Source organism: Homo sapiens, chromosome 8, assembly GCF_000001405.40.
Source record: "Homo sapiens chromosome 8, GRCh38.p14 Primary Assembly".
Taxonomy (NCBI): domain Eukaryota; kingdom Metazoa; phylum Chordata; class Mammalia; order Primates; family Hominidae; genus Homo; species Homo sapiens.
This window is the reverse complement of record NC_000008.11, coordinates 6491820-6518517: the sequence shown is the minus strand read 5'-3', so window position 1 is coordinate 6518517 and position 26698 is coordinate 6491820. Positions and strand designations below refer to the sequence as shown.

At 38.3% G+C, this 26698-nt stretch overlaps 2 protein-coding genes across 20 annotated transcripts in view; one reads left to right on the top strand and one right to left on the bottom strand.

The window, feature by feature from the left end:
- The window catches only part of ANGPT2 (angiopoietin 2), a 63614-nt gene extending 44728 nt beyond the window's left edge, over positions 1-18886 (top strand). For 4 of the 6 annotated variants that reach the window (NM_001386335.1, NM_001118888.2, NM_001118887.2 and 1 more), the window contains 4 exons: positions 3740-3841; positions 4674-4840; positions 9456-9586; positions 15257-18886. In NM_001386335.1, the coding sequence (NP_001373264.1) occupies positions 3740-3841; positions 4674-4840; positions 9456-9586; positions 15257-15417 (561 nt within the window). In that variant the 3' untranslated portion in view covers positions 15418-18886. The remainder of the gene's footprint in view (positions 1-3739; positions 3842-4673; positions 4841-9455; positions 9587-15256) is intronic. The other 2 variants (NM_001386337.1, NM_001386336.1) reach the window with 1 other exon arrangement.
- Positions 1-26698, bottom strand: part of MCPH1 (microcephalin 1) — a 241882-nt gene that overhangs the window by 129991 nt on the left and 85193 nt on the right. For 11 of the 14 annotated variants that reach the window (NM_001322042.2, NM_024596.5, XM_017013833.3 and 8 more), the window contains one exon: positions 18589-18666. The exons of 2 other annotated variants lie outside the window; for them this stretch is intronic. In NM_001322042.2, coding sequence (NP_001308971.2) covers positions 18589-18666 — 78 coding nt within the window. Of the gene's footprint in view, positions 1-5351; positions 6587-18588; positions 18667-26698 lie in introns of those variants that run through there. One more of the 14 variants, XM_011534758.4, reaches the window with a different exon arrangement.

Genomic DNA, 26698 nt, shown 5'->3' with positions numbered 1-26698 from the left:
AACATAATGCTTTCCAAAGAAACCTTTCTAATTCATTAATGCTGTGTTAAATCAACCCTGAAAATTAGTTAATGTCCCTAACGCCCTAGAAGCCATACAACAGGGAAGGAAGGGAACAAACCCACAAACAACACAGTCTGCTGCAGATGAAAAGGCAACGAACAGACTCTAGGCTAAGCCTTTCAATCTCTTTTGCTATCTGGTTTTCATGACAATTCTGTGCATGCCATTGTCTGTCACCAGATGTTGGCGTGTTCTTGGCCTGGGGACAGGAGTGTCAAGAGGGGGGACAGAGGATGCATGTGAAATGGGGATGCCATGGACACCGATGCAGAGGGACAGCCGCTAACCATGCAGCCCCATCACATTGTTTCATCTATGTTTCTCAGTCTAAGTGCAAGCTTCCCACCCCAGTGCACTGTCCCACCCCATGGCCCCCAGAATAACTGAAATATTCTGCAGAAAGATGAAAATATATAGTACTCTGGGATTATATGAGCCTCAGGTCATGGTTGGAAACATTAGGATTTATATTCCCTTTAAACATTTGCAGTAAAAGAAACTCATTTACACAGCAGGGAACAATAAGCTTTCACAAACCTCAATTTTCTCATCTTGAAAAATAAGTGGTGTCAATTGTTACTTCTAAATTCCCTTCCAGACTTAAGACTCTGTAAGTCACAATCTGATCCAGGGAGAGATAGACAGACTTGGATGTAAATTCTAGCTCTGCCATTTGTGGCTCTGGGCGAGTCATTTAACCTTTCTGAGAGCTCAGTTTCCCCATCTGTAACAGAACAATGATACCCTCAGCCTTGGGGGTTGTGACAACACAGGGACAGCCCCTGGGGTAGAACTTGGGACAGTAAATGGTAGTGGTCACCATTTTCACTGCCTTCAAAGACTACCAGACAACTTCTCTGCCTGGCAGGAGACCCGATTCTGCACTCATTTATCTAATTCAAGAAAAGAATGTTCAATTGGTCTTTGAGCACATCTTTTCCTGAAAGGCCAAAATACTGCAGCTTTAGTTTTGAAAAATTCATTTGGTTCTTCTACGAGAGAGAGACTGCAAGATGGCATTTATCAAAAGCATGTATGGTCATTTCCTTCCCTAAATTTCACAGGACACCTGACTCCTAACGGTTGTCTCTATGGTTTGCTATTTAACCCGTCACTTAATCATTGCCTCAGAGTTGAAGCAAGTCAAGTATTATTTGCTGAAAAACATCAAGCTTTATAGAAAGATATCAGGTTCCTGCACCATGCACCAGTGGACAGATTAAAGATATTAACTGCCCTTAGGTTTGTTGTAATTGGAGTGGTAAGGTCTTGGGAAGTATCTGAGGACTTCTGCTTTGCTGATCCTGATATAATCAATTTCAGCACTTTTACTCAGTATCTTCTGGCTGGGTAGATAACTCTATTTGAACACTATCTTTCTCTGCAAGTTTTATAGTCCAATTAACCATAATACTCCAGTTTTTACAAATCCTCTGTTCTTTTTTCTAAAAACCTGGATGAAGTACTAAGAAAATGTTCTAATAACCTTATCATCATCACTAATGGAATCAAAGCGAATACTCATATGGCTCAAATCATTTATGTGCTGGCAGTGACTCTCAGACATTTAAGAGTTTTGCCTCTGACTTCCATAACAAGATAAACTTGTTCTCTGAACAAGATAGAACATGTATTTAAGTACTGGTAACTTCATAGCAGTAATTTTGACACTGAAGAATCAAACATTCTTGGAACAAGGATAGGCTCACCAAGAGCCACGTCAATGCTTTCAACCCAAGAGCATACCATTTAGGATACAGAATTAACTTCAATATATGTACATGAATCCTCAAACCAAAGTAGCTTATTCAGCTGGTTTATGAAATAGATTTTTAAAAAGAAATATTGATAGAAGTGAGCAGCACTGACCATTTTGTTGACTGCAGGCAAATAAGAGGCAGTATTATTCATGAACTGATTTAAACTTGGAACTGTGTTGAGGGACTTTTGGCCTATTTACCAAAGGGTCAGGTTTCTCTGTTTTTGGCAGCATGATGTCAGTGGAAAAAAAACATAACAGGAATCAAAGAGACCTTATTCAAATCCTATATATCACTTAGAAGGTGAGTAACTGATCAAAATCGAACTTTGCTAAATCTTTTCTCCTTTCAAAAATGCAGAATTATGATACTACAGCAGAGTTGCTGTGAGATTATAGATAATATACACAAAGTATCTGGCAGAGTACTTGGATGAGAGTGGTGTGTAGCAATGATAATAAAAATCATAGCAATACAGAGCGGTAACAAGGGGTTAGCTTGTGCAGACTGATTTTCTACATCAGATTAATTTAAAATGAGGAAATAATTTTCTTCTTAATAAATGTAACTTTCATTAATGGCACCTATGTTTCCAAACATGAGTGCCACTGGGGAAGGCAATACGAGCTGGGTGACCTTCCTGGAGAGAGACCAGAACCATGCTGGGGAGAAGTCCCCTGCAGACCAGGCTGTTCCAGGGACAGTTCTCTGGTTGCACTGGCAATGAGGCATCAGGCAGCCACTGCACTTCCTCTGCACCCCTCTTTCCTCATGTAGGAAATGAAAGAACAGGAATAGCACTCTCTTGGTTCTCTTTTCGCTCTCCTCTTTAGGATTCTAACTCGTAAACAGAGAACAGTGTGCGTTGAAGCTTACCCTGCCAAATCGCCTCCATTATTCTCAAAAAGACCATGGGACACAACACAAGAAGAATATTTACAATTGGTTTTGAACCTTAACTTCAATATTTCCTACCTTGTATGTGGCAGAAAATTTATCTTACTTTCTGGAAAACATGTTTCGTTCTACTGTAATCTTTATTATTTAAAACTATTTATGTAATCTTATTTTCAGGGGTTTTTAATTTCATAATAAAACTCCAGCTGAGTTGAAATTGAGCATGCATGCGCTTAGCTTAAGAAAGAATTCTGTGTTCTGGACAAAGTTTAAACCCACAGAGCCAGTTTAAGAGCAGAAATAAAAAGAGTTGCTTAGAGAAAAACTGTGGGCAGTGAGCTATGTACAGAGAAGCGTGAAGTCATGCCCTTGAGGCCAAGGTGCTAAGCCAAGCCCAGGTCACACACCTTGCACCAGGACACTGGAGCCTCAAGGCCCTTGTGCTCAGATGTGAACCAAAAAATCTGATTAGTATTGCACATAAAGGAAGCCAAACAGCCCCACAGTACGAGAATGTAACAGGAGTCCTCCAAACCCTATGATCAAAGAGTATCCCCTTCACATAGCTCTCTGTGGAGGGGCAGGGGCTGGCATTTAGTGAAAGGTTTCAAGGCTGTGAACACAAGTCAATGGTTTTCTACAGGATGGAGATGTGGGGTTCGGGGCCAATCTGCCAAAATGTGCCATTCATAATGAATCTCTAAAAAAACAGCAATCTCTGGACCAGCCATCAGGGTGGGGTCTTTAGCCTGGAACAGATGATGACAAGTGAGTCATATTCTCATCAACACTTTATATTATATTACTGTTTATGTTTCACCATCATTTTAATCCATCACTTTCAATTTATTTGAAACCATCTGTTTCTTAGACAACCCCGATGGTCTACTCCGTGCCTTATATCCCAGAGAACCCTCTCGGCTGAGTCCTGCACTCAGGGTCTACATTCCTCCTGCTTCTGCTACGTAAGGGGGGAGTGGGGGGGCTCTGTCACTTATACCCTGCATTCCTGTTTGCAGGCCTACTGTGACATGGAAGCTGGAGGAGGCGGGTGGACAATTATTCAGCGACGTGAGGATGGCAGCGTTGATTTTCAGAGGACTTGGAAAGAATATAAAGTGGTAAGGACATTCTTTAAGGCATCAGAAAAGAATTTCCCTTGTGAAAAATAGCTTTCAAGATCTGCGGAACCTTAACCACCAATCCCAAACTAACCAATGACTTTTGACATGGTTTTTAAAATTGGTGCTTCAGTCTCCCCTTTAAAGAATGGCCAATATAAGGTAAACTGTATCAAAACAAAAGCTGCAGCCAGACGTGCTGGCTCACGCCTGTAATCCCAGCACTTTGGGAGGCCGAGGCAGATGGATTACCTGAGGTCAGGAGTTTGAGACCAGTTGGCCAACATAACAAAACTCTGTATCTACTAAAAATACAAATATTAGCCAGGTGTGGTGGTGCACACCTGTAATCCCAGCTACTCAGGAGGCTGAGGCAGGAGAATCGCTTGAACCTGGGAGGCAGAGGGTGCAGTCAGCCAAGATCACACCACTGCACTCCAGCCTGGGCAACAGAGTAAGACTCTCAAATAAACAAGGCTGCCACTACTTAGCTTATTTTTAAAGGTGGACTCAGCATTTTTTTGGTAAGCCGACTGTTTAATGGTGCTTCACATTCCCATGAACTGAGCTGTTTATGCCAAGGCTTCTGCTGGTGGCTCCCCAAGTAGTTCTCATTATCCTAATACAAGTTTTCTTCCAGCAGCAGCTTAGTGTCTAATAACTGACCTATTTAAAATCCATTTTCCTTTGGGAAGGACCCTAAATTGTCACAGCACCAGAAGGAATTTCTGCTATTTGATAGTTATTCTATGTTAAGTTGACGGACTATCCACTTCAAATATACAAAGAAAAAATTACATGAAATAATTGAATTTAACAACTTGCATTACAGGGATTTGGTAACCCTTCAGGAGAATATTGGCTGGGAAATGAGTTTGTTTCGCAACTGACTAATCAGCAACGCTATGTGCTTAAAATACACCTTAAAGACTGGGAAGGGAATGAGGCTTACTCATTGTATGAACATTTCTATCTCTCAAGTGAAGAACTCAATTATAGGTAAGTGAGTTCATGGTAATTGAAAGAAAAAATTAAAAGATTTGTGGCCGGGCACGGTGGCTCACGCCTGTAATCCCAGCACTTTGGGAGGCCGAGGTGGGCAGATCACGAGGTCAGGAGATTGAGACCATCCTGGCAAACAAAGTGAAACCCTGTCTCTACTAGAAGTACAAAAAAATTAGCCAGGTGTGGTGGTGGGCGCCTGTAGTCCCAGCTACTCGGGAGGCTGAGGCAGAAGAATGGCGTGAACCCGGGAGGCGGAGCTTGCAGTGAGCCGAGATCGTGCCACGGCACTGCAACCTGGGCGACAGAGCAAGACTCCGTCTCAAAAAAAAAAAAAAAGAAAAAGAAAAAGAAAAAAAAAATTAAAAGGTTTGCTGGGTGACTATTCCAGAAAATGAGAAACACAATGATTTAACCAAGATCTAAACTATTACTTCTTTAAGTTTCTCTGGGTTTAAAATTCTAACTTTGGTTATAACAATATAAAAGAAACTTCATACAAACAGTATTTTGTCCATTGTGTTTACTGTGTATCTTCAAAGCCTAGAAGAACTCTGCCTGGTAGATAATTGGCTTTCATAGGTATTTGTAAAATCAGTGAATAGTAAGTGTTCCCATGATAATATGTCACATGAATAGCATAAATGATGGATACTTGTGACTGTGCTGTTTTATTCCAAAAGGTTTCAAAAGTTAGTCTGTCTTTATGAAGTTTAAACACATTCAATTGTCTTCAATCTCAAAGTCAAGATTAGTTGTCAAGTTTAGAGATGGCAGAGTTAGGTGGGATGGTTAGTCAACTCTGCTCTCCTCTACAGGAAATACATCAGATTCACAGCATTCCCTGGGTGTTTACCTTGTCCTCACCCATTTGGTAGCAATAATCATAAGTAATAGCATGGGCAACCTTGACTGGGAATTTACTTTCTGCCTCTAAAATGCCATGAGAGTAGAGAGAGAGAACAGCAATGGGACTTGACAACCTAGTGTGCAAGATAAGTACGGTGAAGCCACATGCACAGTAATGCTGGTACACAAGGCACATAGAGGCACTCCGAAATGTGTGTGCAACGGGAGGGGCAGAGAAGTGAGACTGTGTGCCCACTGGCACCAACGCCAGCCTAAAGGAGTCTAAAGAGCACAGACTGGTGGCGCCTCGTGATCATGGAGCACACATTATGAAATACCCACTTTGAGGTCAGAAATTAGCAAATGAAGGTCAACACGAACATCACAAAAACAGTCATCATCTGACCTACAGTCTCGTCTTCATCTCATTAATGCCCAAGTCAGACACTCCGCTCCACGACCTGAACAGTCTGAAAGGAGACACAATGTTAAAGTCCTTGAGCAGGCTGCCCAGGGGAGGATTGTGGTGGGCAGCACGGAGAAGCGGCTAAATGTCAAGTTGCCTGAACAACCAACTGAAAACTCTACAATGCCCAGTATGTCCTGCTGTACAAACAGTGGATGAAAATTCAGAAGCATGTTTGAGAAACAGATATACATGGATGTGACTCTTTAAACATCAGTGAAGCATATTCACTATTCTCATTATGGAAAGATCAGGCTCTCCTGGAGAGGCAACAACCGAGATGAATGAGAAGATAGGTGTTTGGGCCTCACAGCAGTTCCAACTTGACTCCAAAGAGATCAAAACTTCAATGAATTTTGAGACACAAGTGGTTGGTCAGTGTTTTACCTCCAAGTTAAATATTTTTTCAACTGGCAACAGTTAGGAATCTACAACAGAAGAATTAAAAAAAAAAAAAAAAGAAGCACAAAAATTAAGGATTAGGCTGTTTGTATAAAAAGATTTTTACAAAATGGGTCATTACCCTTGTACGCTGACATTATAAAAATATTTTAAACTGAGATGGTTCTTAACAGATATTTCCTTTAGAAATGCAATCAATTTTTGGATAGGCCATTTAGAAAAACACACACATTGGTTTAAAGCTTAATTTGCTTGGCAAGATAAAATAGATATTACATCGAAAATTATTATCCTAATAAAACATGATGCTAGCATGATAAGAGAACTGTGAAGGGACTGAAACTTCTCATAACTGCAAATGCTTTGAGACGCCAGTTGTATGCAGCATGTAAGGGATTTTTTTTTCCCAGAAGAAATGTTCCCCAAGTGTTGGAAAACTGGAAAATACATGTTATAAGAAATGCATAAATGCATCAATAGAATTTCATTCTTTCTAGTGAAACTAAAAGCTATGCGTACATTAAATCTTAAAAATTCATCACTTTTCACACACATTCTGGCAGTTTTATATAACACTGAGGTTTAATTGTTAATGTTGATGTTACCTCTTTACTCCACTGTTATATAAAATCATCCCTGGCAAAGCTGCAGAGATTGAAAAAAAAAAATCAACCCATACCAATGTAAAGCAACTTCAAGAACGTGGCCATTCTTAATAACCAAATTTTAAAGAAAGCACTTTAAACCAGTGGGCCACAAAAGGACCTAAAATTACACAAAACCTTTCTAACAGAGACTCATAAAAAATAGTATTCTCCCTTATTTTTCTTGCCTCTGGGGATAATTTAACAAGTTCCATGAGAACTAAACATGTTCAAAGGAGACAAGAGAGAGTTAAAAGATAAGCAAGGGAAGTGGTTCATCTCAATCCTGTCTATGATTAATGGGAAGACAATGGAAAGAAAGTACAGTGTTTCAAAATCCCAACAGAGATGAGTATTTATGACATTAGCATTTTGCAGCAGGCATTTAGAGACTGAGCTACGGCCAGTCTCACTTTTGAAACATGTGGGAAAATACTGAGACTCACATGTCCAGTTCATGCCTTAGGATGAAGTTTCTAGGGCTGCCTTAATACTGAAGTCACTTAGGAGCAACACTTACAGAACTCCACATCACATGGCCCTACCCTCATCTTTTCACAACTTCTTCAACAAACAAACATCTCTGTTTAGGTGTGCACCAGTGTTGAAACACGGCAGAGGCATTTGCTGCATCTGGTGCAAATCCTACCTCCATGACTTAAGAGTCTGACCTCGGACAAGTTTATATCTCTGAACCTCAGTGACTTTCAGTGCCAAAACAAAGATGGCGGCCACCACTGCAGGTGGTTATAAGCATCCAGTGTGCATGCAGGTGTAAGCACCTGGCCTGGCCCGACCAGCAGGTAAAACTAAAAGAACATTTTCTCTCTTCTTTGTATTCTTCCAATACAAACTGTTAGAAATTATATTATTCCAATGTGGCAGCTTGCAAACATTAGCAGGTTTTACAAAGAAGGGCATCATCTTGGTGCTTCAAGTACACTTCTCCTGCCACCATTGCAGGATTTGCTTTGTAGGCTCCTCGCCTGGGTCTTCGTGTGCCTGTTTCTCCATCAGGACGTGAGGACCCAACGTGCCAACATGGCATACCCCATTACGTGAATGCCTGCTCTGATCTGTCCTGAACCATCTGCCAAGAAGCTTCTTTGCAGCAGAAACTCTTGAGCATAGTTATGGAAAATAAAAAAAAAAAAAGAAAAAACAACCTCAAAAATATTGTCTTCTCCCTTCCCTTATATGCTCCTTGCTGGTACACAGATGACCGATGTAAGCCGTATTTTTGCAATTCAGCTTACAATGGTTCAACTTAAGATTTTTCGACTTTACGATGGTGTGAAGGTGATACGCATTCAGCAGAAACTACACTTTGGGATTTAAATTTGGATCTTTCCCTGGCTAGTGATATGTGGCACGATGCTCCCTCATGATGCCAGGCAGCGGCAGCGAGCCACAGGTCCCAGTCAGTCCTGTGATCCCCAGGGTGAACAACAGACACTGCGTGCACCGTGTTGCCAAATGGCTCTGTCTGACTGTGGGCTAATGTGAGTGTTCCGAGCACATTTAAGGAAGGCTAGAGCTAAGCTATGATGCTCCAAAGGTCAGGTGTATTCCATGCATTTTCAATATACAACATTTTCAACAGAAAATGGGCTTATCAGAACATAGCCCCATGGGAAGTCAGGGATCGTCTGTATTGTAAATAGTGTCTAACTTACTCCGACATTTGTTCCTTTCTCAATGTCTAAAAGTTTAATTACATTACCCTACTATACAGACATGAGGAAATGTAGCCACAAGGATTTATTTTCAGCACCGTTCTGTAGATTTCTTCCCCAAACTCAGTGGCCATTCCTTGTCTGCTGCATTCTCCATCCCCCCCGGGGCCCCCTGCGGAAAATAATGTTTGAGGTTGTCCAGTTGTCTCAGGACTCCGTCTCTATGGAAGATGACTGGAGACCTGGGAGGAGGAGCCTGGTGCTGCATTTCTTTCTCTTCTGTTTATCTGAAAGCAGCAGGAAAATAAATTACAGGGCTCTACAGTCGCTTCTGATAGTTGTGCAAGTGATATGTGTTGAAGGTTTCATGAAAACATCCCTCTTTGCTGAAGGATTTGATGATAAGTTGGTTCCTGTTTATACCAGTGCAAAATATTTTGTCCAGAGTATGCATTAGTCCATTAACGAGTACAGAACACGCTTCTGTAGAATGGAATTCTTCATCACAAAAAATTTGCCACTACGGTAAATCAATGACCCTAGCCAATGTGTTTTTTTTCTTTGCACGCTTACAGGATTCACCTTAAAGGACTTACAGGGACAGCCGGCAAAATAAGCAGCATCAGCCAACCAGGAAATGATTTTAGCACAAAGGATGGAGACAACGACAAATGTATTTGCAAATGTTCACAAATGCTAACAGGAGGTAGGGATGACTTTCTGTCTTCCTATTTGTATTGGCAAGGAATGATTTCATAGAGGGAAAGGCTGGCAATTTGGACTACAAATTGTGATTTGTAACGATGTCCACAATTTCATACGTAGACACACTAGCTTGATATAGGTAAATGTGTTTTTCACTTTTTTTAGACTAAGTTTTAAGTGAGAATATGATATGGAGCTAGACTTGTCAGCAAGCCAACTGTGTCTCCTCAGGACCTAGCCCTGGCAAGGAGAGGGGATATTTGATTCTTAGCAAGCTCTCCTGCGTTTGTGCTTGCTGGATACTAGAGAGATGGTTTAATTACATTTTGCTTTATGTAAAAAGTTAAAAATTCCAAGTAGCAACCACAACAGTAATATAGATTATAGAAATATTTCCAACTAATAATTTAATGTTCAAAGAAGGAATTTCCAGCTGTCATTTATTATTTATTTATTTACAGACACAGTCTCCAGTTGTTTATTTATTTATTTTGAGACAGAGTCTTACTTTGTTGTCCAGAAGGGAGTGTGATCGCAGCTCACTGCAACCCCTGCCTCCCAGGCTCAAGCGATTCTCCTGCCTCAGCCTCCCCAGTGCTGGGATTATAGGCGCCCACCAGTGCACCCGGCTAATTTTGTATTTTTAGTAGAGGGAGGGTTTCACCATGTTTGCCAGGCTGGTCTCGAACTGCTGACCTCAAGTGATCTGCCCGCCGCAGCCTCCAGAAGTGTTGAGATTACAGGTGTGAGCCACCACACCCGGCCCCAGCTGTCTTTTTAAAAAAGATTCCATTAATATATAGCAACACCTATAAACACAAATGAGTTAATCCACCTTTTTTAGTAAATCAAATTAAAATGAGTCATCTTCTACTTTGAGACCTTTCTTGTATTGTAGGTTTGGTATTACACTGCCATAAAACAGACAATGAAAACCACACTCATAAGCCAAAAACCATTGTAGTAGTCACTTAAAACAGATGGGTTGGTATTCAGAAACATTTGAGAGTTCAAACATAGGAATAAAGTTTTAGAAAATGTTATTTTTCTGGCCGGGCCCGGTGGCTCACGCCTGTAATGCCAGCACTTTGGGAGGCCAAGGAGGGCGGATCACCTGAAGTTAGGAGTTCAAGACCAGCCTGGCCAACATGTTGAAACCCCATCTCTACTAAAAATACAAAAATTACCTGGGCATGGTGGCTGGCACCTGTAATCCCAGCTACTCCTACTCAGGAGGCTCAGGCAGGAGAATGGCTTGAACCTGGGAGGCAGAGGTTGCAGTAACCCAAGATCGTGCCACTGCACTCCAGCCTGGGGGACAGAGCAAGAATTCACTCAAAAAAAAAAAAAAAAAAAAAAAGAAAAGAAAGTGTTATTTTTCTGATTTGTTAAAAGTTTAGAAATTCACTGACAGGAACAAACGCTACTTAGTGACTGAGACAAGAAAAAAGTGTGACAAATGCTGTCAAGTTAGTTCTTGAAAAACACTGAAAGATTTAAAGTAGCAACAAAAACTCTGCCAATAGTGCAAAATGAATGTAAAGAATAACAGGAAAATTGGCAGGGTTTAATTTCTAGAGAACATAAATCATATCTGCAAAAATTAATATGTTACCCACCCAGGAAAACCAAAGGTAACAGCTATGGTCAACATGTTTTATAAATGAAAGTTACTACATTAAACAAATGGATGACCCAAGTTATGATGCATTTACACTATAGGAATCATTAATAGGGCTGGGCATGGTGGCCCCCGCTTGTAATCCCAGCACTTTGGGAGGCCAAGGTGGATGGATCACCTGAGGTCAGGAGTTTGAGACCAGCCTGGCCAACATGGCAAAACCCCATCTCTACTAAAAATACAAAAATTAGCCAGGCGTGGTGGCATACGCCTGTAATCCCAGCTACTCAGGAGGCTGAGGCAGGAAAATCTCTTGAACCGGGGAGACAGAGTTTGCAATGAGCCGAGATCGCACCAGTACAATCCAGCCTGGACGACAAGAGTGAGACTCCGTCTCAAAAAAAAAAAGCATCATTAACAGTCAAAAGGAGGATTTAGTAATGAAAATAATATGAAATTCAGTAATTTTCATGTCTTTAAATTTCATGCCTTTTATGCTGAAAGAATCAGGCCTCATTAAAAAAAAAAAAAAAGCAATCCTCTGGTTCCTGAGATAATATGACTACTATTTGGTACCACAGGTCCTCCCTATGTTACACCATTATTACACCAATGAGCAAAGCCCTCCTATTGATTTTGCAAAAGCTTCCTGTTTCCTTCATCCTGGCACAATCATCCTTTTTAAAGCTGAACAGCAGGGAAAGGGTCAGGTGGAGGAGCCACAGACACCTAGGACTTTGTTTCCTGTCTACCATTTCCCCACATGCTGGACCCAGCTCTCTCCTTGAGAAGGGTGTGCTTATTAGACCACCCGTATGTGCTGAGCTTCTCAGGAGAGTAGGAGAATTGCATTAATAACCAAGGAAACAATATATTTACTTAGGCAAATCAAGATTTAGGGACTGAGAATGTAATTGGAAAAGAGACTGGGGAGAGGAAAAACAGCCCAAGAGAGAAAGTGGAGTGGTCTTGCCTGTGAAGAGGTCAAATTCCAGCCAGTGGTCTGGACCATGAATGAACCAGCCTAATGAGCAGCTCCATTTTGCATGGACAGCAACTTCTCTAGTTGGACAAGCTCCAGAAGGCACTGACCTATGAATCTGTCAAAGTCCTGAATATGTGAAGGATTCTGAATAGAACACGCAAACTTCCGTCCAATCTGCATTCACCTGAATCAAATGAAGTCACTGAGCTGTTACCACCAAGAAACAATGTAGGAACCTGGATGAAATAACAAACCAATGTATAAACACAACATATATATATATAAAGAATATATATATGTTTTTATATATATACATATATAAAGAATATGTATATGTTTTTATATATACAAAGAATATGTATGTTTTTATATATACATATATAAAGAATATGTATGTTTTTATATATACATATATAAAGAATATGTATGTTTTTATATATACATATATAAAGAATATGTATGTTTTTATATATACATATATAAAGAATATGCATGTTTTTATATATACATATATAAAGAATATGCATGTTTTTATATATACATATATAAAGAATATATATATTCTATATATACGTATATATAAAGAATATATATAGAATATATATAGAATATATATACGTAATAAAGAATACATATATTCTATATATGTAAAGTATATATATTCTATATATAAATAGATATAAAGAATATATACATTCATATATAAATATATAAAGAATATATATATTCCATATATACAAAAAGAATATACATTCTATATATACATATATAAAGTATATATATTCTATATATACATATATAAAGAATATATATTCTATATATACATATATAAAGAATATATATATTCTATATATGTAAAGAATATATATATTCTATATGTATATAAAGAATATATATATTCTTTATGTATATAAAGAATATATATATTCTATATACATATAGAAAGAATATATATATTCTATATACATATAGAAAGAATATATATATTCTTTCTATATGTATATAACATATATATGTTATATACATATATATGTATATAACATATATATGTATACATATATATAAAACATATATAAAGAATATATATTCTATATATACATAAGAATATATATATATATTCTATATATACATAAGAATATATATATATATATTCTTTGGCATAGAGTTTTTATTAAGAAATAATGCATTACGGGTAAGGCTAAAGAGGACCTGCCAGTGCCATTCCCTACCTGACGCTTGGGTCGAGGTTAATTCACTTTATTTATTAATTTTCCTACATATGGAGATATCAATCATAATTATTTTCTCTATTTTAAAAATTAATATAAGGAGTATCATACTGTATGTGTTCCTCCAACACAGTGTTGTTGAGATTTATTCAGTTTAACATATGTAAAATCAAGGTTACAGCAGTCCTCCCTTATCCTTAGGGGAAACATTCCAAGATGTCCAGCAAATGCCTGAAATCACACACAGTATCAAACCCTATGTGTATATTTTTTCCTGTTCACACATACTTACAAAGTTTAGTTTGTAAACTAGTCACAAGAGACTTAACAATAATAAAACTGAATAATATACAACATATTGCTTCCAATTTCATGGATATAAGATTTGTTCTTCTATAGATCTTAGCATCCTTAGTGTACGATTTTTTTCTCTCCTTATTAAGTCAGGAACTTTCACCTTTTCACTTAAAGGAAGCACTTTACAGCTTCTCTTTGACATATCTGAATTGCCAGCATCATCACTCTTGCACTTTTGGGGCCATTATTAAGTCAAATAAGCGTTACTTGAACATAAGCACTGCGATACTGTGACAATCGATCTAATAACCAAGACAGCTACTAAGTGATCAGGAGACCGGATGTAGACAGCGTGGATCCACTGGATAGAGGAGATTATTCATGTTCTGGGAGGGATGAAGTGGGCATCAGGAGATTTTATCCCGTTACTCAGAACGGCATGCAATTTAAGGTTTATACATTCTTTTTTTTTTTTTTTTTTTTGAGCTGGAGTCTCACTCTGTCGCCCAGGCTGGAGTGCAGTGGCGCGATCTCGGCTCACTGCAAGCTCCGCCTCCCGGGTTCACGCCATTCTCCTGCCTCAGCCTCCCGAGTAGCTGGGACTACAGGCGTCCGCCACCACGCCCGGCTAATTTTTTGTATTTTTAGTAGAGACGGGGTTTCACCGTGTTAGCCAGGATGGTCTCGGTCTCCTGATCTCGTGATCCACCCACCTCGGCCTCCCAAAGTGCTGGGATTACAGGCGTGAGCCACTGCGCCCGGCCCCTGCTTATAGAATATTTCTAGATTTTTCCATTTAATATTTTTGGCCCAGCTGACTTCAGGTATCTGAAAGTGCAGAAAGCAAAAATAGCAGATAAGGGGGGACTACTGTGTTTCTTTCTCTCACAAACCCCAGCATGCTCCTGTTTTTGGCCAAGCCCAGAAATTAAGGTGCAGATGGGGCTTCACTCCCACAGCCCCTGTGCTGGACACCTCTCCTGCCCTGGCTTTAGCTGAGCGAGCACACACTCTCACTTTAAATTTCCTTTTTGTCTCTGAAACATAGAGACTTCCTTTTTATGTAGCTCCACTGAGTACTTAATATTTTAGTTTAAACTTCAACCGAAAAAATCATTTAATAGAGCAAGGGGAGCCTGAGCGAGTCCAGCCCACCATGTTGCTGGGACTGCAAAGTAATCCTGGTTGAAGGAGAGTTTTCCAACTGTGCCTCAGATGTTTGCTTACTCCTGCTGTAAGTGTGTACACACTGTGGGCTTACCAAATAGGACTGTGGAGAATTCAGGCCTCTCCACACAGCACAAGGGAAAAGGTGGAAGAAGGCTTGTAAAAGCATTTGCCGTAATGGAACTGTGATGTCATGGGTGTATGGCTGGAAAACAATCCCTCTGCCAGTGCACATCCTATACTCACCATCATCTGCATGTGCCTACTCCACACGCCTGCAGTGTGCCTCCTGCCTTAGCTGAGTATTGCTGTCTTCGTGGTGGGAGCTGGCATCACCTAGTTCCTAATTCCTTCTGTGTTTTACTTTCACAGGCTGGTGGTTTGATGCATGTGGTCCTTCCAACTTGAACGGAATGTACTATCCACAGAGGCAGAACACAAATAAGTTCAACGGCATTAAATGGTACTACTGGAAAGGCTCAGGCTATTCGCTCAAGGCCACAACCATGATGATCCGACCAGCAGATTTCTAAACATCCCAGTCCACCTGAGGAACTGTCTCGAACTATTTTCAAAGACTTAAGCCCAGTGCACTGAAAGTCACGGCTGCGCACTGTGTCCTCTTCCACCACAGAGGGCGTGTGCTCGGTGCTGACGGGACCCACATGCTCCAGATTAGAGCCTGTAAACTTTATCACTTAAACTTGCATCACTTAACGGACCAAAGCAAGACCCTAAACATCCATAATTGTGATTAGACAGAACACCTATGCAAAGATGAACCCGAGGCTGAGAATCAGACTGACAGTTTACAGACGCTGCTGTCACAACCAAGAATGTTATGTGCAAGTTTATCAGTAAATAACTGGAAAACAGAACACTTATGTTATACAATACAGATCATCTTGGAACTGCATTCTTCTGAGCACTGTTTATACACTGTGTAAATACCCATATGTCCTGAATTCACCATCACTATCACAATTAAAAGGAAGAAAAAAACTCTCTAAGCCATAAAAAGACATATTCAGGGATATTCTGAGAAGGGGTTACTAGAAGTTTAATATTTGGAAAAACAGTTAGTGCATTTTTACTCCATCTCTTAGGTGCTTTAAATTTTTATTTCAAAAACAGCGTATTTACATTTATGTTGACAGCTTAGTTATAAGTTAATGCTCAAATACGTATTTCAAATTTATATGGTAGAAACTTCCAGAATCTCTGAAATTATCAACAGAAACGTGCCATTTTAGTTTATATGCAGACCGTACTATTTTTTTCTGCCTGATTGTTAAATATGAAGGTATTTTTAGTAATTAAATATAACTTATTAGGGGATATGCCTATGTTTAACTTTTATGATAATATTTACAATTTTATAATTTGTTTCCAAAAGACCTAATTGTGCCTTGTGATAAGGAAACTTCTTACTTTTAATGATGAGGAAAATTATACATTTCATTCTATGACAAAGAAACTTTACTATCTTCTCACTATTCTAAAACAGAGGTCTGTTTTCTTTCCTAGTAAGATATATTTTTATAGAACTAGACTACAATTTAATTTCTGGTTGAGAAAAGCCTTCTATTTAAGAAATTTACAAAGCTATATGTCTCAAGATTCACCCTTAAATTTACTTAAGGAAAAAAATAATTGACACTAGTAAGTTTTTTTATGTCAATCAGCAAACTGAAAAAAAAAAAAGGGTTTCAAAGTGCAAAAACAAAATCTGATGTTCATAATATATTTAAATATTTACCAAAAATTTGAGAACACAGGGCTGGGCGCAGTGGCTCACACCTATAATCCCAGTACATTGGTAGGCAAGGTGGGCAGATCACCTGAGGTCAGGAGTTCAAGACCAGCCTGGACAACATGGTGAAACCCTGTCTCTACTAAATAATACAAAAATTAGCCAGGCGTGCTGGCGGGCACCTGTAATCCCAGCTACTCGGGAGGCTGAGGCAGGGAGAATTGCTTGCACCAGGGAGGTAGAGGTTGCAGTGAGCCAAGATCGCACCACTGCACTCCAGCCGGGGCAACAGAGCAAGACTCCATCTCAAAAAAAAAAAAAAAAAAAGAAAGAAAAGAAAATTTGAGAACACAGCTTTATACTCGGGACTACAAAACCATAAACTCCTGGAGTTTTAACTCCTTTTGAAATTTTCATAGTACAATTAATACTAATGAACATTTGTGTAAAGCTTTATAATTTAAAGGCAATTTCTCATATATTCTTTTCTGAATCATTTGCAAGGAAGTTCAGAGTCCAGTCTGTAACTAGCATCTACTATATGTCTGTCTTCACCTTACAGTGTTCTACCATTATTTTTTCTTTATTCCATTTCAAAATCTAATTTATTTTACCCCAACTTCTCCCCACCACTTGACGTAGTTTTAGAACACACAGGTGTTGCTACATATTTGGAGTCAATGATGGACTCTGGCAAAGTCAAGGCTCTGTTTTATTTCCACCAAGGTGCACTTTTCCAACAACTATTTAACTAGTTAAGAACCTCCCTATCTTAGAACTGTATCTACTTTATATTTAAGAAGGTTTTATGAATTCAACAACGGTATCATGGCCTTGTATCAAGTTGAAAAACAACTGAAAATAAGAAAATTTCACAGCCTCGAAAGACAACAACAAGTTTCTAGGATATCTCAATGACAAGAGTGATGGATACTTAGGTAGGGAAACGCTAATGCAGGAAAAACTGGCAACAACACAATTTATATCAATTCTCTTTGTAGGCAGGTGATAAAAAATTCAAGGACAAATCTCATTATGTCATTGTGCATCATATATAATCTCTTATGAGCGAGAATGGGGGGAATTTGTGTTTTTACTTTACACTTCAATTCCTTACACGGTATTTCAAACAAACAGTTTTGCTGAGAGGAGCTTTTGTCTCTCCTTAAGAAAATGTTTATAAAGCTGAAAGGAAATCAAACAGTAATCTTAAAAATGAAAACAAAACAACCCAACAACCTAGATAACTACAGTGATCAGGGAGCACAGTTCAACTCCTTGTTATGTTTTAGTCATATGGCCTACTCAAACAGCTAAATAACAACACCAGTGGCAGATAAAAATCACCATTTATCTTTCAGCTATTAATCTTTTGAATGAATAAACTGTGACAAACAAATTAACATTTTTGAACATGAAAGGCAACTTCTGCACAATCCTGTATCCAAGCAAACTTTAAATTATCCACTTAATTATTACTTAATCTTAAAAAAAATTAGAACCCAGAACTTTTCAATGAAGCATTTGAAAGTTGAAGTGGAATTTAGGAAAGCCATAAAAATATAAATACTGTTATCACAGCACCAGCAAGCCATAATCTTTATACCTATCAGTTCTATTTCTATTAACAGTAAAAACATTAAGCAAGATATAAGACTACCTGCCCAAGAATTCAGTCTTTTTTCATTTTTGTTTTTCTCAGTTCTGAGGATGTTAATCGTCAAATTTTCTTTGGACTGCATTCCTCACTACTTTTTGCACAATGGTCTCACGTTCTCACATTTGTTCTCGCGAATAAATTGATAAAAGGTGTTAAGTTCTGTGAATGTCTTTTTAATTATGGGCATAATTGTGCTTGACTGGATAAAAACTTAAGTCCACCCTTATGTTTATAATAATTTCTTGAGAACAGCAAACTGCATTTACCATCGTAAAACAACATCTGACTTACGGGAGCTGCAGGGAAGTGGTGAGACAGTTCGAACGGCTCCTCAGAAATCCAGTGACCCAATTCTAAAGACCATAGCACCTGCAAGTGACACAACAAGCAGATTTATTATACATTTATTAGCCTTAGCAGGCAATAAACCAAGAATCACTTTGAAGACACAGCAAAAAGTGATACACTCCGCAGATCTGAAATAGATGTGTTCTCAGACAACAAAGTCCCTTCAGAATCTTCATGTTGCATAAATGTTATGAATATTAATAAAAAGTTGATTGAGAAAAAGTCTCACGATAACAAGAAATCTGAGTCATTATTCTCATGAGGTCAGATATTTAAATATTATCCTGTTTTTACACATATGAAATATTTTATATATATATTTTTAATTCCAAGTTTCTAATTTGTGAAGTTTTATAAACAATCCTCTGTAAATATTCCAGACTTTTATTAATTAAAACAGTGAATTAAAAGAAGATGGATCACAAGCCTAAATTCAAAAGCAATCCCTTTGGCTTGTGACTTTGTTTCTAACATTGGCTAATATTTTCAGAAGTCCCCAGAATACACTTGAAATTCCTTCCCAGACTTTGGAAGAGTAAAATGTCCCATAAACAAGCTTTCATCGTCATCATTATCATCATCATTATCCTCTTAGTATTTGAATCCCCACACGGTAAAATGATCAATACAATCTTTTCCTTTTTAATTCAGTAATATTTGAGGTTCTGCAGCCGTCTCTCCTCCAGGACCAAACTCCCTGAAAATCTGTCTCCATACACCAGAAGTTTAGAGCTAAAATAACAAAGCTGGATTATACAATTCATGTTTATTTTATTTATTTATTTATTTATTTATTTATTTATTTAATTTATTTATTTTTTGAGACAAACTCTCACTCTGTCATCCAGGCTGGAGTGCAGTGGTGCAATCTCAGCTCACTGCAACCTCCACCTCCCAGGTTCAAGCAATTCTCCTGCCTCAGCCTCTTGAGTAGCTGGGACCACAGGCGCCCACCACCACACCTGGCTAATTTTTTTTGTATTTGTAGTAGAGATCGGGTTTCACCGTGTTGGCCAGGCTGGTCTCGAACTTCTGGCCTGAAGTGATCTGCTGACCTCAGCCTCAATGCATGTTATTTAAGGAGATATACTAACAATATGTGAGGCTCCCCACAAGCTCATATAATTAGACCAGAAAATAAAAGGTTAAAATCAAGTTCATTTCAGACAAGAGGCAACGTAAAAGAATAGTACAGTGAGAAATACAACGTACCAGTGACAGAAGCCATGAACCAGCCTTAAAAATGCGTGCGGCATTCAAGTTCAAATATAATCCACATTAAAAAGTCAACTGAATTTAAACAATCTCATGGAGAAAATTTATGTCCTCTAAATTTAGCCGTTTCTAAATGTTAAGAAAACAAAACCATAAGAAGCTAAAGTAGAGTTCTGGTCAGTAAATTAATTAATTTACACAGACATCCCAGGAATTAATATTGCATAGAGATAGGAGAAAACACTAATTCAGTTGTATTAAAACAATCAAATCAGAAATACAGTGTAAACATTTTGCTCTAGTAGTTTCATTGGCCGAACACATCTTTACCTTAATAGAGTGTTCAAAATAGTGAAAATCTACTTTGAAAGAGCACAGGTAAGGCTGTAAGCAAACTTAAAAACAAAAGGTTGGCCCAACATATTTCTTATAAGAAGGGCAGAGTGAATTCAGCATCCGCTGCAACAGGAATTCAGCATCTTGTAGGTGACACATTACATAATGAAAATAGTGTTTTTTACATTTTAATATTATCATTCATAAAACCAAAACCTTGCTGATGAATTTAAATAGGAACTGCATCTGTGAATAGAAACTGCTTTATTTCTTCCTTTCTGATTGCTATGCACATTTTATTTTCCCCCTTATTGCACTGGATGACACTTCCTGTTCAAGGCAGGGAAGGAGCAGTGAGAGCATTGAGAGTTCTTTGAACAAACTTGTAAGGCAGACTTCTTCAGTTTATTGTGGTATAGGACATCATAAAAACCTTAAGTGTTCAACTTAATGTACCTATGTTCAAATCAATGTATCTATTATATTAATGTGTCTATGTTCAAATTAATCTATAGAAAGCACAAGTTTTTTTCTGTATTTGTATTTTTAAAGCCACTTTAGCTTCATAGCAAAATTAAGAGGAAGGTACAGAGAGCTCCCATACACCTCCTGCCGCCACATATGCATTTCGATGTCTCCCACTGGAGTGCTACATGTGTTGTACCCAGTCATCCCGTGTTCACACATCATTATCACCCAAAGTCCACAGTTTACATTACAGTTCCTTATAAGTGAAAAGCATATATTATGATGGAGTACTGGTGCTGGTCAGTGGTTGCAGCTCTTCCCTAAGCTGTTTTCAACTTCCTTTTCTATTTTTTTTAGACAGTCTTCCTCTGTCGCCCAGGCTGGAGTACAGTGGTGTAATCTTGGCTCACTGCAGCATCGTCTCCCAGGTTCAAGTGATTCTCCTGACTCAGCCTCCTGTGTAGCTGAGACTACAGGCGCACATCACAATGCCTGGTTAATTTTTTTCTTTTTTCTTTTTTTTTGTTTTTTTTTGGTAGAGAATGGGGTTTCACAGTGTTGGTCAGGCTGGTCACGAACTCATGACCTCAAGTGATCCACCTGCTTCGGCCTCTCAACGTGTTGGGATTATAGGTGTGAGCCACCGCACCCAGCCCTCTCAACTTTTTATTTCTCAAAGAATAATTACAAATTTCTGACTGATCAAAAGGATTATAGCTAAATATCGGTAAATGTTGCACTTCCAATCAGGACCAATGAAATTAGTTTTTATTCATTAATTAGCTTATTAGTATTTTCTTAACTGCCTAAGAAATTTTCTTCAGCTAAGAACAAAATTTATTCACAAAGTATTTCATAAGCAAAAACACTGAACAAGGTACTCAATTTTTGACTTCTCAAAAAAAATTTAAAGAGGGAAAACAATAAGCAATTATTTCAATGTATAAGTGATGAGAGAAAACTGGGGGTGGGGTGGGGAAGGCAATCTGTAAGAGGGATTTTAAGTTGGGCTTGAAAACATGACCCCATTTAATAATGACTCCCTACTGGGATGGAAAATACAACTGTAACATGAAGCTGGTTTAACTCACTGGAAAGCATTAACGATTGTGTTGAAAACATTTATTAACATTCACAATTTTTGATAGGCAACATTACTGTTAGTCATAACACTACATTTATTCCAAATTTCTAAATAGCCAGCCTTATCCAAGCATACCGCCCACCATAGCTTACCACCCACCATACTGTGAAATTCAACTGCAGTTGTGGTACTAAGAATACCTGTGGGAATGTAACTGGAAAGGAAAAAGGCGGGGGAAGGGGGGCGGGGGGGCTTCCGTGTGGCGAAAGTCAACAATATTCTTTGCATACAAAAGACTCCACATCGTGTAAAACAGGGGTCCTGGTACCAGTCTGTGGCCTATTAGGAACGGGGCCACACAGCAGGAGGTGAGTGGTGGGTGAACCAGTGAAGGAAGCCTCATCTGTATTTACAGCCACTTCCCATTGCTTTAATTACCACCTGAGCTCCACCTCCTGTCAGATCAGCAGTGGCATTACATTCTCATAGAATTGCGAACCCTATTGTGAACTGTGCAGATGAGGGATCTAGGTTGCATGCTCCTTATGAGAATCTAACGCCTGATGATCTGTCACTGTCTCTCGTCACCCCCCGATGGGACTGTCTAGTTGCAGAAAACAAGCTCAGGGCTCCCACTGATTTTACATTACAGTGAGTTGTATAATTACTTCATTATATATTACAATGTAATAATAATAGAAATAAAGTGTACAATAAGTGTAATGTGCTTGAATCATCCCAAAACCATTCCTCCCTCACCCTCCCAACCCCCAAGTCCCTGGAAAAATTGTCTTTCACAAAACTGGTCCTTGGTGCCAAAAAGGTTGGAGACTGCTGGTATAAAATATCACTGATTAATTAAAAATCAAATCTGATAGTTAGAAACTTGTCCCACAGTCGTAAGCCATAGGAATGTAGTTGATTTCAAACAGTTCAAAAGTATGTTTTACATTCCGCTTTACTGGATGATACTTTAGGAGTAAAGTTAGACACATCTTTACTTTAATCACTGAAAGTGATTGGGGTGTTTTTGCCACTATCTCCTCCATCCACCCTTCACTCCACCAACTGTGGTAAAAAGTGTGGTTGTAGGTGTTTATGGAAGGTGTAGAAACACATTATTTATTATAAGCGTAACAAAAGTAATAATTATTAACTTTTTACTAATTTAAGCTGACAAAATTATAAAAATCAAATTACAAAGATTGTTCTCATCAGATTTTATAGATCCTTTGTCTTAGTAGTTAGGGCAATTGATTTTCTCAAACAACATTTATGAGAGTTTGCTAGTTTGTATGCTGTTTTGGATTTTTCTAAAGAAAGAAGAAGATTTGGGATTCTTCCCCAACTAGACAGTGTAACATACTGGTTAAAAGCACAGAATTCAACAACTGGGTTTAAACCAATGTCCATCTTTTTACAGATTTATGACAAGGGGCAGGTTAGTGTTTCTGCCACATGAAGACATTATGCATCATTATTAACTAAAAAAGCACCCATGTAGTTAATGAAATAGTGTAGCAATGAAGTTATTTCTAGGTTATACTGAACTTCAGGAGAAAAAATTGGGGATGTCAATAGTATAATTTTTAACAACAAAATAATAGGGTACTTATGTCCAAAGCATTTTCAAGCCAGAAAATAAAGGTCTAGTCTTCCAAAGAGACCAGCTTGAACTGGCAAAATTTCAAGCCAATAATATCTGTTCCAAAATAAGCTATTCTTCTGTATTTCCAACACATCTCATAACATCAAGAAATGCTTCCTATAATTCCATAAAGTTCTTTTAAAAATACAAACCTATTTAGTAGTTGTAGTGGTGCCTTAAAGCTATTTTCCATATATGACTTTTTTTAAGTGAGGTGAAATTGGCATAATATACAATTAACCATTTTAAAGTGTGCAATTCAATGGCATTTTATATCATGATGCTGTGCAACCAGCTCCTCTTTCTAGTTTCAAAATGCTTTCATCACCCCAGAAAAACATCCTGTACCTGTTAAGTAATCACTCCCCATCCCTCTCTCCCCTCCATCCCTGGTAACTTCTAATTAGTTTTCTATTCTATGGATTTACCTATTCTGGATATACTGTCTGAAAGGAATTATACAACATGTGCTTTTTGTGTCTGGCTCCTTTCACTCGGTGTGTTCAACGTTCATCCAAGTTATACTTTTAATGAAGGCTAGTGATCAGCGTCAAAAATGCTTGTTGAATAATAACGATATTTAATATTTATTGAGTGTTTACTGAGTACTTTATTTAGGTGATCTTTCCATTCTTTTACAGATAAAGAAACTGCCTTACCCAAGGTTACACAGCTACGGTGTAGCAAGGTTAGCAGTGAAATCCACTGCCTTATCCATTAATCTTTTCAAAACACACAGGCCATCAGAGAATGCCCATATCAAGGTTTACAGCTATAGAAGATAAAAAATACTCTCTAGGCTATCTTTGGAAGTAGATGCTAGAAAGAATGTGGGCTATGAATTGAGGAAGAGCTGAATTCAAATTCAAAATTCACCATTTCTGGCAGGATGCAGTGGCTCACATCTGTAATCCCAGTTCCTTGGGAGGCCAAGGTCGGCGGATCACTTGAGGTCAGGAGTTTGAGACCAGCCTGGACAACACGGTGAAACTCTGTCTCTACAAAAAATAAAAATTAGCCAGGTGTGGTGGCATGCACCTGTAATCCCAGCTACTCAAGAGGCTGAGGCACAAGAATTGCTTGAGCCTGGGAGACAGATGTTGCAGTGAGCCAAGATCGTGCCACTGCACTCCAGCCTGGGCAACAGAGCGAAACTCTGTCTCAAAGAAAAAAAAAAAAAATTTACTATTTCCAAGCACTATGACCATGAGCAATTTACTGAAAGTGTTCAAGCCACAGTTTCCACAGAGGATTACTGTCTTGACTAACAGCTTGACGATGTGTAAAACACTGACAAAGTAGCTCCGCATCTCTAAATGTTCCATGTGACTAACATCATTGGGACGCTGTCTCATCTCCACCCCCGAATACGACAGAGATCCCCGGTCATATTTTGTATCCTGGGGACCTAATGCTGGGTCACAGGACTAGCAGCGTGGACCTCACCTCAAGCCTGAGCAGACCCAGACCCACTGAACCAGGATCTGCACTTCAGTAAGATCCCCCAGGTGATCCACACATTAGTAAGGTTTTGAAAAGCACTGCTCTAGCTGTCTCATAAAGAAAGGGGCAGGAAGCTAAATATCTAACACAGCCTATTCAACCAAGAAAGGGAAGATAAGCAATAAAGTACTAAAAGTATATAGTTAAGAACCCATTTCCCTTTTAGAAGACATTGACCGATAGAGACTGAATTCCAGGTGGTGAGAGGGAAAACAAGCTGCATGTTGACCTAGGCTTGAATATTCTTATGAAAAAGCTCACCTCAATTGAACACAAACATTTAAGTTCAATTTATTCTCCTTGCATTCTACCTAATCCTTTCCAGTTTTCAAAAATGAAAATGGGTGATTCTCGATGTTAAGGCTTAACTGCTCAGTAATATTCACTTTATAAATACAGCTAAGCAATGACCAGGAAAACCCAGCATGTCACCACTGTACTCACATGTGAAGTCCAAACATCTTTATAAATAACTAAGTGCGTACTTCTCTTATCAAAAGGAAAACAAAGAAATAAATATAACAAATTCCAATGCAACTAAAATAAACAGCAGAAACATCACTTCACTGTATGAAAACACAGCAGAAATTATTACCAACACAGACAATAAACCAAATATTATGGCTACTAAGAGCAATCACTATTTTTTGTTCACATTAAGGGCAAAAGCACTTGACTCTGCCATAGCCTCCCTAGAGCCACGTACCAGGAAGTAGACAATAGTATTTACATGGCAAAGCGCAGTATGCAGTCTCTGTACTACCCAAGAGTACAATAATTTAACAATAATCCTTATCAGTTAATCAATTAATTACTTAACTCAATCAATAATTCAATAATGAAAGATTATTAATTTTATAATATTAAATAATTATTATTAATATTTATTTGATAATTTAATATAAAATATTTATTTTTAAAAAAATTTTAAATTTTAATATTCTAAAAATTTAATATTAACTATTTAATATTAATATTATTAAATAATTGTTATTAATGATGAATAGCATAGAAATATGCTATTTCTATAGCATAGAAAACCTTGGCAATAATATTCAGGACACAGGCATGGACAAGGACTTCATGTCTAAAACACCAAATGCAATGGCAACAAAAGCCAAAATTGATAAATGGGATCTAATTAAACTAAAGAGCTTCTGCACAGCAAAAGAAACTACCATCAGAGTGAACAGGCAACCTACAGAATGTGAGAAAATTTTTGCAATCTACTCATCTGACAAAGGGCTAATATCCAGAATCTACAAAGAACTCTAACAAATTTACAAGAAAAAAACAACCCCATCAACAAGTGGGCGAAGGATATGAACAGACACTTCTCAAAAGAAGACATTTATGCAGCCAACAGACACATGAAAACATGCGCATCATCACTGGCCATCAGAGAAATGCAAATTAAAACCACAATGAGATACCATCACACACCAGTTAGAATGGCGATCATTAAAAAGTCAGGAAACAACAGGTGCTGGAGAGGATGTGGAGAAATAGGAACACTTTTACATTGCTAGTGGGACTGTAAACTAGTTCAACCATTGTGGAAGTCAGTGTGGCGATTCCTCAGGGATCTAGAACTAGAAATACCATTTGATCCAGCCATCCCATTACTGGGTATATACCCAAAGGACTATAAATCATGCTGCTATAAAGACACATGCACACGTGTGTTTACTGTGGCACTATTTACAATAGCAAAGACTTGGAACCAACCCAAATGTCCAACAATGATAGACTGGATTAAGAAAATGTGGCACATATACACCATGGACTACTATGCAGCC